Source organism: Homo sapiens, chromosome 14, assembly GCF_000001405.40.
Source record: "Homo sapiens chromosome 14, GRCh38.p14 Primary Assembly".
In the NCBI taxonomy this organism is placed as follows: Eukaryota; Metazoa; Chordata; class Mammalia; order Primates; family Hominidae; genus Homo; species Homo sapiens.
The window spans coordinates 103400656-103413909 of NC_000014.9; the positions used below are offsets into that span (position 1 = coordinate 103400656).

Here is a 13254-nt window from a genome sequence, read left to right on the forward strand (position 1 = left end):
GGAGAATAAGACAGGAGGATTGCTTGAGGCCAGAGTTTGAGATCAGCCTGGGCAACATAGTGAGATCCTATCTCTACAAAAAATTAAAACATCAGCCATGTGTGGTGTACGCACCTGTAGTACCAGCTACTAAGGAGGCTGAGGTGGGATGATCCCTTGAGTCCAGGAGTTCGAGGCTGCAGTGAGGTATGATCGATCACACTACTGTACTCCAGCCTGGGCAACAGAACGAGACCCTGTCTCAAAAAAAAAAAAAAAAAAAAGTTATCAAAGAATTATATAACATTTTGTGTGTGTGTGTGTGTGTGTGTGTGTGTGTGTGTGTGTATGCAGGTTGTTTATTGGCTCCTTAGGAAGAAAAAAATACGTGTATGAAATAATTGATTAACAGTACAAGAACTCATAATTATTTGTTTAAATGTTTAATGTTGGTACTGAGTGCTGTGGCATAGGAATAGGGAACTTTTTCTTAGGGTCGGTGATGGATTCTTGGGAAAATAAAATGAAGGGCAAATGGAAGCAAAAGACAATTTAATTTGCTTCTGTTTTAAGGGAACTTTTAAAAAGTTAATTCTTAAATTTTTTAATTTAAGGACTTCGTCAAGAAACATCGAATTAAATATATTGAGTTTAACCCTAACAAGCATCAGATCTTTCAGTCTGCTGTATGAGGAAATACAAGTTTCTTTCTGCTTTCTATTATGATTGTTGATTTGCATGAGCGTGTTTTAGGTTAGGCTGTGTTATGCTGTGGTAATACATACCACCAACATCCTCATGATTTAACACAATAAAAAACTTCTGCTCACACCAAGTCTGCTTGAGGGCTCATTGGCTCCGTGGAAACTGATCTCCATGTCCAGGCCAGTTTGGTCTTGTGGCCGTCCGTTTTAGGGCAGTGCTTAGGGTCAGGAGAGCAAAACACAGGGCTGGAGAGTTAAGCACAGGCAACTAAATGCTTCAGCATGGGAATGGCATTCATTTTCACTCACAGGATGTGTTCAGCTTAGTCACATGGCTGTCTATGCCTAACCTCAAGGGAAGGGAGTGCAGTCCTCCAGGAACTCAGATGTAAAAAAGCCAGTATGATGGATATAGTATTGTCTACAAAAAAAAGTAGCATAATAGAGTTAGATACAAGCAAAGTACTCTAGGATCCCAGTAAGGAGAAGTAAGAAATTCTGATGAGATGCAGGGAGAGCCTTAGAAGGGTTCATGAAGATGGTGACAGATGATACAAACTCAGTAGAATGAGCAGGTTTTTCTTAGATTTGAAGAGAAGAAAGGACATTCAAACTAAGGGAACAACACTGACTGAGTCAGAGCTAGACTCAAAGCTAGAGTCTACTGGCTGATGTCGTGGGAGAGGAAGAAGAGATGAGCGGGCCTTGAATTCGTTTAACATTCAGCAAAAATGTATTGCATGTCTACCATGTGTTAGGCACTGTTTCAGGTTTGGGGAATATCTGATAATGAACAAAACACAAAAAGCCTGTCCTTGTGAAGGTTACATGCTAGTGGAAGAAGCGCTAAGGAGTTAGTATTTTATTATAAGCACACTGGTGAGTAAGCAAAGATAGGAACATTGGATGCCTGTGAATCTTAAGATTTTCCTGGCCGAGCGCGGTGGCTCATGCCTGTAATCCCAGCACTTTGGGAGGCTGAGGTGGGTAGATCACTTAAGGTCAGGAGTTCGAGACTAGCCTGGCCAACATAGTGAAACCCTGTCTCTACTAAAAATACAAAAATTAGCCGGGTATGGTGGCGCGCACCTGAGTCCCAGCTACTCATGAGGCTGAGGCAGGAGAATTGCTTCAACCTGGGAGGCGGAGGTTGCAGTGAGCTGAGATTGCGCCACTGCACTCCAGCTGACAGAGTGAGACTCCATCTCAAAAAAAAAAAGGATTTTTCTAAGATTTCTATTTTACATTAAATAGAAGGCAGTTGGTTTGCATGAAAATTATTATTTCATCAATTTGACTGCCTCATTATAGAAAACACATATTGAAGTCAAATAAAACGTAGAGATGAATCTCTGAAGTTAAAATATGTTATTTGGGACGCAAGAATTGCAATTTGGGGCACACAGACCACAGGGTGGTCTTCAGTATGTATGAAGAACAAAGTAAAGGATGGAGGTTTTATAAAGAGAAGTGTTACATATTTTGAAAGACAGGTCATTGGCACTAGTAAAGTTTTGGGGAGGTGGCAAGCCCTGATTGGTGAGTGACAGTGGTGGGTAATACTGGTCTTAGAGTCAGCAACAAGTTGTTTCAGTAGCCATTAGATAAACTGGTTTCAGGTTACAATAGGCAGTTTCAGCAGCCAGGCTTACAGAGAATTATAATCTTGGAGCAATGTTACATCCCTCCCCCTCCCCTGGCCCCCCACCCCATCCCTGCCCCTCAGCTCTGATTTAGTTGAGTACGAATAGGATGACCCAATTAGTATGATCAGCTTTCACACATGAAGGTTGAATTTATGAAACATGTAAATTTGAAAATACATGTTTACATTGCAAAAAGCTTTTTTAACAAAAATTTTGGCCAGTAGTATAAATTCAGTGAATATGTTTTCATTGCACAGATAGTAAAACCACTTGATACATACCTCATGGGGATATGGACTGCTTTATGCGCTGCTTTTTACCACACCTTAAATAGTGCCTGGTTGTGTGTGTGTGTGTGTGTGTGTGTGTGTGTGTGTGTGTGTGTGTGTAACTCAGTAAATATTCAATGAATGAATGAAGAAATTCAGAAGATAAAAAAGAGAAATTTCCCTTATTTTTAACCTTCTGAACACTATAGTGGTTAGCATTTATATCATTTATTCAGCCATTCTAATATTTATTGAGTAGCAGTTTTGTACCAACTGCTGTTCTAAGATATAAGGAATAATAAATTCCTGTTACTGTTTTCATGAAACTTAAATTCTAGTGTAATTAAAATCATGTAGAAATAAACATAAACATGATCACCCAGCTTCTTTTAAAACTAGACTGCAGTTGATGTAATAATTTGCATTACAACAGCATGCATCTTGTGCACAACAAAATCTACCTGTTTTTGTATTAAAGCCTTAGTGTCAAAGCTTTATTATCATTTTAGTCTTTTATCAACTCCATATTTATAAATGGTCTATTTTCCCAAAGTTCTAATATGGAAATCAGAATCATTTTTGTTAGAGGAACAATGTTTACAAGTTGCCTAGATTTGCAGTGAGGTCATAAAAAGCCTGTTTAATCTAAAATAGACATTTGCAATAAAAACAGAAATTGTTGTTGAGATGCCATATTATGTGATAACTGAGTAAAACAGACAAGAGCCTATCCCCTAACCTGGTATGTGAATGTGAAAATATTAGAGAAATAATGAAGAAGTAGATGGAGACTAATGAGGAAATTCTGAAAAGGACATCTTTTGAGAAATTCAGAGGTAGATGGCGCAAGTTTTAAAGCTTACTTTCACTTTAAAACACCTGAGTTTCATTTCCTTTGATTTGAGTAAATTACAAAGCAGTTTATTAGTTAAATCAGGCTTGTTTTGATTTATAGGTATATAGAGAAAGACAGGACATTTTCCTGGACAGAAAGTTGGAAAAGAGAAACGTGTAAAGGGGGTGGAAAGTGGCTGTGAGTGCATGTGGAATGAGAAGCCTCCCTTGGGCAGGAGTTAACAGCCACAATGGGGAAAGGATTGGGACATCTAATCCTTTGAGTGTGTGTGGGGGCCAAGGGAGCAGTAGTAGCAGGATGCCTGCGCATACAGCCATGTACACAGTGTGTACACAGAAGTGTAATTCTTGGGCCTGAATATTTCATAGGGTAGAGACATATTGAGTACTTTATTAAGTAAGCATATTGAGTACTTTATTCATCTATACAACAAGGGTCGTCTATTAAGGGCCACACAGTCTAGCTGTTTCTGTAAAGCACATTGTTTTGAATTACTGTTAGCAGTGTAGTATAGAAGGAAATCGGGAATCCAGATTCTCTATGGATTTCCCCCTGAACAGTTATGTGGCTGTATCCTTATCTAGTGAATGGTGACATTAGCTTTTCCCCTGCTGCACGGGCTGTAGTGAGGCTCAGGTGTGCAGGTGCACTTACTAACATATGGAAAAGTTAAGCACTGTATAACCAGAAGGTAGCCCTTTTACTCCTATTTTATATGACAGCCACGTATGCAAAATATCTAATTTCTTCCTGAACACTCAATTGAACTTCAACACTTCGTATTTTTCGTCTCAGAATTTTTATTTTCCTCAAATTTATATTATGTGGTTAAATTCCTTTGAAGTGCTAGATACTTTAAGATTAAAATTAAAGTAGGAATGTTTTTTCTTCAATTAGAAGCTCTTAGAACTTGGCAAGTACTCTGTGTTCTCTCATTTCCTTATCTTTGTGTATGCTGTATTGCAGCACACGTCACATGGAGATGGGCGTCAAGAAGTTACCTCTCGTACCAGCCGCTCAGGAGCTCGGTGTAGAAACTCTATAGCCTCCTGTGCAGATGAACAACCTCACATCGGAAACTACAGACTGTTGAAAACAATCGGCAAGGGGAATTTTGCAAAAGTAAAATTGGCAAGACATATCCTTACAGGCAGAGAGGTAAATACCAGTTATGCTTATTTCTGTTATGACAGTTGCTCTGTTTATTTCCATGTAAGAGAAAGAAAAGAATATAGATATAGGCCTTATTTCTTTTTTTTAAGATGGAGTCTCGCTCTGTCACCCAGGCTGGAGTGCAGTGGCATGATCTCAGCTCACTGCAAACTCTGCCTCCCGGGTTCACACCATTCTCCTGCCTCAGCCTCCCGAGTAGCTGGCAGTACAGGTGCCCGCCACCACACCCAGCTAATTTTTTGTAGAGACAGGGTTTCACCGTGTTAGCCAGGATGGTCTCGATCTCCTGACCTTGTGATCCGCCCGTCTCGGCCTCCCAAAGTGCTGGGATTACAGGCGTGAGCCATAGCGCCTGTAATATATAGCTACTATGTATTACATGTATTACATGTCAAGTTCTAACCACATAATATAAATTTGTAATACATAGCTGGGATTACAGGCGCACACCACCACACCACGCTAATTTTTTTTTTTTTTTGTATTTTTGTATTTTTGTAGAGACGGGGTTTCACCATGTTGGTCAGGCTGGTCTCGAACTCCTGACCTCGTGATCCACCTGCCTTGGCCTCCCAAAGTGCTGGGATTACAGGCATGAGCCACCGTGCCCAACCTATTTTATTTTCAAGACAGGGCCTTGCCCTGTCACCCGAGCTGGAGTGCAGTGGCTCAATCATGGCTCACTATAGCCTCAACCTCCTGGGGTCAGGCAGTTCTCCCACCTCAGCCTCTCGAGTAGCTGAGACTACAGGCATGCACTGCCACACCCGGCTAATGTTTAAAAAATTTTTTTGTAGAGACAGGGTTCTCACCGTGTTGCCCAGGCTGGTCTTGAACTCCTGTGTTCAAGCAGTCCTCCTGCCTCAACCTCCCAGAGTGTTGGGATTACAGGCATGAGCCACCATGCCTCACTAATTAAGCTTTTTCTTTTTTGGGGGGTTAGGGGGGTGTCGGGGGTTGGGACGGAGTCTTGCCCTGTAGCCCAGGCCTGGAGTGAAGTGGCATGGTCTCGGCTCTCTGCAACCTCCGCCTCCCAGGTTCAAGCGTTTCTCTTGCCTCAGCCTCCTGAGTAGCTGAGATTACAGGCGCACACCACCACGCCTGGCTAATTATTTTTTTTTTTTTTGTATTTTTAGTAGAGGTGGGGTTTCACCATGTTAGTCAGGCTGGTTTCAAACTCCTGACCTCAGGTGATCTGCCCGCCTCAGCCTCCCAAAGTGCTGGGATTATAGGCATGAGCCACCACGCCCAGCCTAATTAAGCTTTCTCAAAAGAACATGAAACATATATTAGGTGTCTGGGAGTTTTTTGTTTTGTTTTTGTTTTTGTTTTTTTTCTGAGGCAGAGTCTCACTCTGTCACCCAGGCTGGAGTGCAGTGGTGCAATCTCGGCTCACTGCAAGCTCCGCCTTCTGGGTTCAAGCCATTCTCCTGCCTCAGCCTCCTGAGTAGCTGGGATTATAGGCATGAGCCACCACGCCCAGCCTAATTAAGCTTTCTCAAAAGAACATGAAACATATATTAGGTGTTTGGGAGTTTTTTGTTTTGTTTTTGTTTTTGTTTTTTTTATGAGGCAGAGTCTCACTCTGTCACCCAGGCTGGAGTGCAGTGGTGCAATCTCGGCTCACTGCAAGCTCCGCCTTCTGGGTTCACGCCATTCTCCTGCCTCAGCCTCCCGAGTAGCTGGGACTACAGGCATCCACCACTGCACCCGGCTAATTTTTTGTATTTTTAGTAGAGACGGGGTTTCACTGTGTTAGCCAGGATGGTCTCGATCTCATCTCGTGATCCGCCTGCCTCAGCCTCCCACAGTGCTGGGATTACAGGCGTGAGCCACCACGCCTGGCCCATCTGGGAGTTCTTTTGCTTTCCCATTACTTTAAACGTTGGAAATATCATAGAGTGTTTAAATAGTCTTTACCTTTAAAAATAGGTAATGTTTTGTTCTTTTTCAGTAGCAAATGTCTGCTACCACAGTAAAAATTGTCTTTAACTTCAGGTATACACTTATGTGTATGAGCTCATGTTACTTGCTAATCAATATTATTGTCAATATTTACAGATTTATCTTCAAGAAGTTTCTTAATCTCTCTACTTTTCTCATAGCGTATGTTTAATCGGTTATTGTGTAGGAAGGCACATACTTTCCTAACCTTTGTGAAATGGCTTTCTGCTCAGCCCCGTTCCTATTAATCAAAAATACATGCATTAAAACCACAAAACTAACTCCCTCCTCTTGTTATACTCATATGGTACAGAGCCTGTTTTGCCTCTTTTTTTTTTTTTTTTTTTTTTTTTGAGACGGAGTCTAGCTCTGTCGCCAGGCTGGAGTGCAGTGGTGTGATCTCAGCTCCCTGTAACCTCCGCCTCCTGGGTTCAAGCAATTCTCCTGCCTCAGCCTCCTGAGTAGCTGGGACTATAGGCGTGCGCCACCATGCCCGGCTAATTTTTGTATTTTTAGTAGAGATGGGGTTTCACCATGTTGGCCAGGATGGTCTCAATCTCTTGACCTGGTGATCTGCCCGCCTCAACCTCCCAAAATGCTGGGATTGCAGGTGTAAGCCAGCGTGCCCAACCTTTGATGTAGTTTCTTGCATTTAGGTCTTTGCGCCTGCTTTTCCCTGTACCTGAAATACTCTTTACTCTTCTGTTTAGGGAACATTTCTGAGAAGTAATCATTGACAAATCCCCTTTCCCCAGGCATGGGATTCCATAAAAATCCCGATACTCCCCTTATATGGCACAATTTACATTGTATTGGAATTGCTCGTTTGTCTGTCTCCTTCTCTAGTTTGTAGGCTGTCTCCAGTCTGTAGGGGAAGATGACAGAACTTAACACAGTGCTTGGAACCTGTTAGGTACTTAATAAATATTTGCTAAATGAATGCAATAATACTGTTTTTTGGCGGGGGGGAGGTGGTGTTGGCAACAGAGTCTCACTGTTGCCCAGGCTGGAGTGCAGTGGCGTGATCTCAGCTCACTGCAACCTCCCGCCTCCTGGGTTCAAGCGATTCTCCTGCCTTAGCCTCCCGAGTAGCTGGGATTACAGGCACACGCCACCGCACCCAGCGAATTTTTTGTATTTTTAGTAGAGAGGGGGTTTCACCATGTTGGCCAGGCTGGTCTCGAACTCCTGATGTCAGGTGATCCACCCACCTCAGCCTCCCAGAGTGCTGGGATTACAGGCGTGAGCCACCATGCCTGGCCTGAATGTAGTAATACTTTTGAAGGAAGCTTTTAAAACAAATGCTCTCCCTGTGCGAGACCCTTCTGATAGATGTGCCAAGACTGTGACACATATGGCGTAGCATTCATGCCTGCAGCCCACCAGGCCTGGGGCTGCAAGAGCATGAGCCCTGGGTCTGTCATCTGTCAGCATGCATCCTCTGTTTGCAGCAATGTGCCCTGTAAATATTTTCATTTCCTGTGTGTGCGGAGACTTGGAAAAGGTTGGGAAGCACTGGACTGTGCTAACTGGAATTTTAAAAGACTGTTGCCAGAAATTTGCCTTTTGACAATTCATTAATTTTAGTGATAAAATTCTTGTGGATTTTTAGTTAAGACTCCTTGTTGCTGAGCTGCCTTATAGACTGCTTTTGGAATCTGTAAACAGCTTGTGTGGGCGGAGCTGTCCTTGTTGTCCTTGATTAAAGCTTTCTTGAGATAAGGAACGGTGAGACCTCTGAGTTTCTTAGTTCCCACCAGTTCCAGGTGGCTACTTGCCAGCTTCCTCATGTGGGCAGAGATGGTGGGCCAAGAGAGCGTTGAGACAGACGAACCTCTTCCATTTACCTTACCTGATTTACATTATCTAGAGTCTGGCCTGTGGTGTTTACTTCTAGTAGGTTCTTTCTCTAGAAATGCTTGAATATGACTAGCAGAGTGGTTTAATTTAAAAACTTTCTCAGTTTCTCAGTTTTTTTAAAACTTTGAACAAGTTCTCACTCGTAAGTGGAGTTGAACAATGAGAACACATGGACACAGGGAGGGGAACATCACACACCAGGGCCTGTCGGGGTGAGGGGCAAGGGGAGGGATAGCATTAGGAGAAACACCTAATGTAGCTGATGGGTCGATGGGCGCAGCAAACCACCATGGCACATGTATACCTGTTTAACCTGCACGTTCTGCACATGTATCCCAGAACTTAAAGTAAAAAAAAAAAAAAAAAAAAAAAAAAAAAAGGAAAAACTTTGAACAAAATCATTTTACTCTTGTGGGGTTTTTTTTGCCTATTGTAGATATGACATATAAAATGTAAACATTATAGAAATATAGAAATTCATTATGTAGAAAGTAAGTTCCTTGAAATTTGTCTCTTCAAAGACAATCACTTTCAGCAGTTTGGTGTATATTCCCAGAGTTTTTTATATAGACATTAACTTTTAAAAAATTTTAACAGAAAGGGACTCATGGAACATGATGACAGTTTTTTTACTTAGTAATGTACCTTGACCATGTCTGGGTCTTAGTACTCATAGATCTGACATATTAGTCTAAAGGCAGCATAGTCTTCCTGGCTATGGTGGTACCATAGTTTATTTCCTATCAGTGGGCATTAGGGTTGTTTCTAAATTTTTGTTGTTACAAACAGATCTGCAGTGGACATTCTTTAGCATTGCGTGTCCTTGTTAAGTGTTTCTGTAGGATAATTCCTAGAAATGGAAGTCCTGGGTGAAAGTGGATGACTATTTGACATTGTAATAGATACTACTAAATTGGTTTTGAATAAAAAGTGATGTACCTACTTTATTATTCTACCAAAATGGAATAGAGTGTTCATTTTCGTACATGCTTCTACACTGTAGATAATTTTTGTCTATCTGAAGGTCTCAATCTGTTTTTGCTGCTGTAACACAATACCAGGGACTAGGTAATTTATAAAGATAAGAAATTTATTTCTTACAATTGTGGAGGCTGGGAAGTCCAAGATCCAGGGGCTGCATCTGGCCAGGGCCTTCTTGATACATGAAGGGCGTGATGGAAGGGCAAAGAGTGGGGAAGGAAGGGAAGAGGAGGAGAAAGGAAGAAAAGAGGGCAGAGCCCTTGCAATCTGATTGCCTCTCCAGGGCCCCATGCCTTAGTACTGCTGCAACAGCAATTACGTTTCACCATGAGTTTGGGAGGGGACATTCATTCAAACCATAGCACGTATGGACAAAAAAAGGGTGTAGAGAAAACCAGAAGTTGCTTTTTCCCTTTTCACTACTTAGATTTATGATCTTTTTATATATTTTTGTCATTCATAATTTCTTTTTGAGGCAAGTTCCCTGGCCACCCGCAGTAGCTCATGCCTGTATTCATAGTGCTTTGGGAGGCCAAGGCAAGGAGGATCACTTGAGCCCAGGAGTACAAGACTGCATTGTGCTATGATTGTACCGCTGTACTCCAGCCGGGGCAACAGAGGACACTCTCTAAAATAAATAAAAATAAAACAAGTTTCCTGTTTATATCCTTTATTCATTTTTCTTTTTTTTTAATCTTAGTGATTTAAACCCTTTATGTTTCAGTCATCTGTCTGATGTGTCTGTTAATGTAGGTTATGAATATCTTTCCCTAGATTACTCCTTTTAACTGTTTATGATGTCTTTCTTGTTTTAGGGAAGTTTTTAAGTATTTATGTGGCAAAATCATTTAATCTTTTTCTTTATTACATTTGGGTTTCATGTCTTCTTGAAGATTTGTCCCGTGACTTAAAAAACAGTTCTATAGGCCGGGTGCAGTGGCTCACGCCTGTAATCCCAGCACTTTGGGAGGCCGAGGTGGGTGGATCACGAGGTCAGGAGATCGAGACCATCCTGGATAACACGGTGAAACCCTGTCTCTACTAAAAATACAAAAAATTAGCTGGGCATGGTGGCGGGCGCCTGTAGCCCCAGCTGTTCAGGAGGCTAAGGCGGGAGAATGGCATGAACCCGGGAGACGGAGCTTGCAGTGAGCTGAGACTGCATCACTGCACTGCAGCCTGGGTGACAGAGTGAGACTCCGTCTCGAAAAAACAAACAAACAAACAAAAAACCAGTTTTGTATTTTCTTCTAATACTCCTCCTATGGCTCACATTTTAACGTTTAATTCATGTGGTATGTATTTGGGAAGATTAGTATTAGGTGTAGGGATCTGACTTTTTTTTTCCACTTGGATTACAATTGTCCCAGAACCATCAGTTCTCTCCCAACAATTGAAGATACCTGCGTTAACACATAATAAATTCTCATATGTGTCCTGTTATTTCTCCAGTCTGTTTATTTAGTCCTATACCCATACTGTGGTGTTTTTATTACTGCAGCTGTGGATTGTATGTTTTAGGTCAAGTTCCCCTCCTGATGATTCTTTTTTTTTTCTCTCTCTCTTTTTTTGGTGAGATGGAGTCTCGCTCTGTCGCTAGGCTGGAGTGCAGTGGCGGGATCTCGGCTAACTGCAACCTCCACCTCCCGGGTTTAAGCAATTCGCCTGCCTCAGCCTCCTGAGTAAGTGGGATTACAGGTGTGTGCCACCACGCCCAGCTAATTTTTGTATTTTTAGTAGAGAGGGGATTTCATCATGTTGGCCAGGATGGTCTCGATCTCTTGAACCCATGAACTGCCCACCTCAGCCTCCTAAAGTGCTGGGATTACAGGTGTGAGCCACCACGCCCGGCCAATGACTCTTATTTTTCAAAATTTTCATAGCTTTTTTTTTTTTTTGGTCATTTACTCTTCCACATGAATTTTAGAATTAAGTTGCCATTTTCTAAAAACAGAGCATGAAATTTTGATTAGATTAGTTTTCATGGGATTAGTTGGTTTTTTGTTTTTTGTTTTTTTTACTAGTAGCAGTAGAATCTTTTCAAATATGCCTTAATATAGGCGCTGGGGCTTGCCCGTGGTGCTCTTGATATATAAGGCCCGGACATTCTGCCAGTTTTTTCTCGAGCAGTGACACCAAGAAGTTAACAGCCAGGTGAATGTTATGCACAAGCTCATCGTCTGTCATCTTCACGTGGCCAACAGCCACAGCCAAACATAACATGTTCATATGAAACTTGATTGTGGACTTCGCCTCATCCACTTTGGCCACCGTGTTTTCATCGTGTGTGAGCAGGGAAGGGAACTTTACTGCCTTTGTTAGGCCTATGCCGAGGATTCGTGGGATTTGCTTTATCAGAGACTCTGAAGCCAAAAATGCATCATACTTCTTGGCCAGCTTCTTGACCAGATTCTTATTCTTGAGTTTTTTTGGCACCTCAGTGTCCACTTGGGGGGATATCCGTGGCCTTGGTCTCGTCACAGTGCTGCTGTTCCCCCAGGACCCACACTTGGGACAGGGAGTGGACTTAAGCCTGACGGTGCCCGAGAAGCGCTTGTCCTTCTGGGGGTCATAGTTCTTCAAGCTGATCTGCAACTCCACCATCTTCAGGAACTTGGGGCACTTTCACTGGTTCCCGTGCAGGACTTCCTGCACCGCCTCATCCAGGGTGTCGTGAGAGACTTTGCTGCTTATGGGTTCTCATGCCACGCTAACCAGAAAAGAGGGTTTAGTTGGTTTTATAAATTATTAATAGTTTGGGAGGAAATTGATATTTTAATGATGCCAAGTCTTTCTTTCTTTTTTTTCTTTCTTTTTTTTTTTTGAGACGGAATTTCGCTCTTGTTGCCCAGGCTAGAGTGCAGTGGCGTGATCTCAGCTCACCACAACCTCCGCCTCCTGGGTTCAAGCAATTCTCCCACCTCAGCCTCCCGAGTAGCTGGGATTACAGGCATGCACCACCATGCCCGGCTAATTTTTGTATTTTTAGTAGAGACGGGTTTCTCCATGTTGGTCAGACTGGTCTCAAACTCCCAACCTCAGGTGATCCACCCGCCTCGGCCTCCCAAAGTGCTGGGATTACCAGTGTAAGCCACCACATCCGGCTAATGCCAAATGTTTCTATTCAGGAATGTGCATGTGTCTCAAATTTGTTTTCAGGTTTTGTAACTTTTTTCATCTATGTTTTATATAATGCTTGTTAAATTCATTTCAAGCTATTTTATAATTTTTGTTGCTAATGTAAATGGAACTTTTTTTTCCTCAAGAAGGCAATAATCATATAACTTCTTGCATTTGGGAAACTTTTGATCTCTCATTTGGAATGTCGAAAATTAAGTTTATATTGTTTTTTAATAGCATGCTTTTTTTTTTTTTTTGAGACAGAGTCTGGCTCTGTCGCCCAGGCTGGAGTGCAGCGCGATCTCGGCTCACTGCAAGCTCCACCTTTTGGACTCAAGCAACCTCCCACTTCAGCCTCCCCAGTAGCTGGGACCACAAGCACACAGTACCGCACCTGGCTTATTTTATTTTATTTTATTTTATTTATTTATTTTATTTTATTTTATTTTTGGTAGAGATGGAGTTTCACCATATTGCCCAGGCTGGTCTTGAACTCCTGAGCTTAAGCAGTCCGCCTGCCTCGGCCTCCCAAAGTGCTGAGATTACAGGCGTGAGCCACCACGCCTGGTCAGTTGTCTTTTTTTGAGAATGTCAAATAAAATGGGATCATATGGTATGTAACCTTTTGAAACTGGCTTCTTCTCACTCAGCATCATGTCTTTGAGATTGATTCAGGCTGTTGCATATATTGACAGTTTGTTCCTTTTTGTTGCTGAGAAGTA

At 42.2% G+C, this 13254-nt stretch overlaps 1 protein-coding gene and 1 pseudogene across 34 annotated transcripts in view, besides 2 other annotated features; one reads left to right on the forward strand and one right to left on the reverse strand.

Annotated features, from left to right (window-relative positions):
- MARK3 (microtubule affinity regulating kinase 3) overlaps nucleotides 1–13254 on the forward strand; it is a 118417-nt gene that overhangs the window by 15241 nt on the left and 89922 nt on the right. For 24 of the 34 annotated variants that reach the window (NM_001128918.3, XM_005267641.6, NM_001128919.3 and 21 more), the window contains exon 2: nucleotides 4421–4612. The exons of 8 other annotated variants lie outside the window; for them this stretch is intronic. In NM_001128918.3, the coding sequence (NP_001122390.2) occupies nucleotides 4421–4612 (192 nt within the window). Of the gene's footprint in view, nucleotides 1–4420; nucleotides 4613–13108; nucleotides 13146–13254 lie in introns of those variants that run through there. 2 more of the 34 variants (XM_047431389.1, XM_011536769.4) reach the window with 2 other exon arrangements.
- Nucleotides 615–734: a silencer, noted in NCBI's record as "silent region_6152". NCBI's record gives its function as "represses an Ori minimal core promoter by ATAC-STARR-seq in GM12878 lymphoblastoid cells {active_cell/tissue: GM12878}" and the evidence as "EXISTENCE:reporter gene assay evidence [ECO:0000049][PMID:35858748]".
- Nucleotides 2256–2355: a silencer, noted in NCBI's record as "silent region_6153". NCBI's record gives its function as "represses an Ori minimal core promoter by ATAC-STARR-seq in GM12878 lymphoblastoid cells {active_cell/tissue: GM12878}" and the evidence as "EXISTENCE:reporter gene assay evidence [ECO:0000049][PMID:35858748]".
- On the reverse strand, nucleotides 11432–12137 carry RPL10AP1 (ribosomal protein L10a pseudogene 1; annotated as a pseudogene).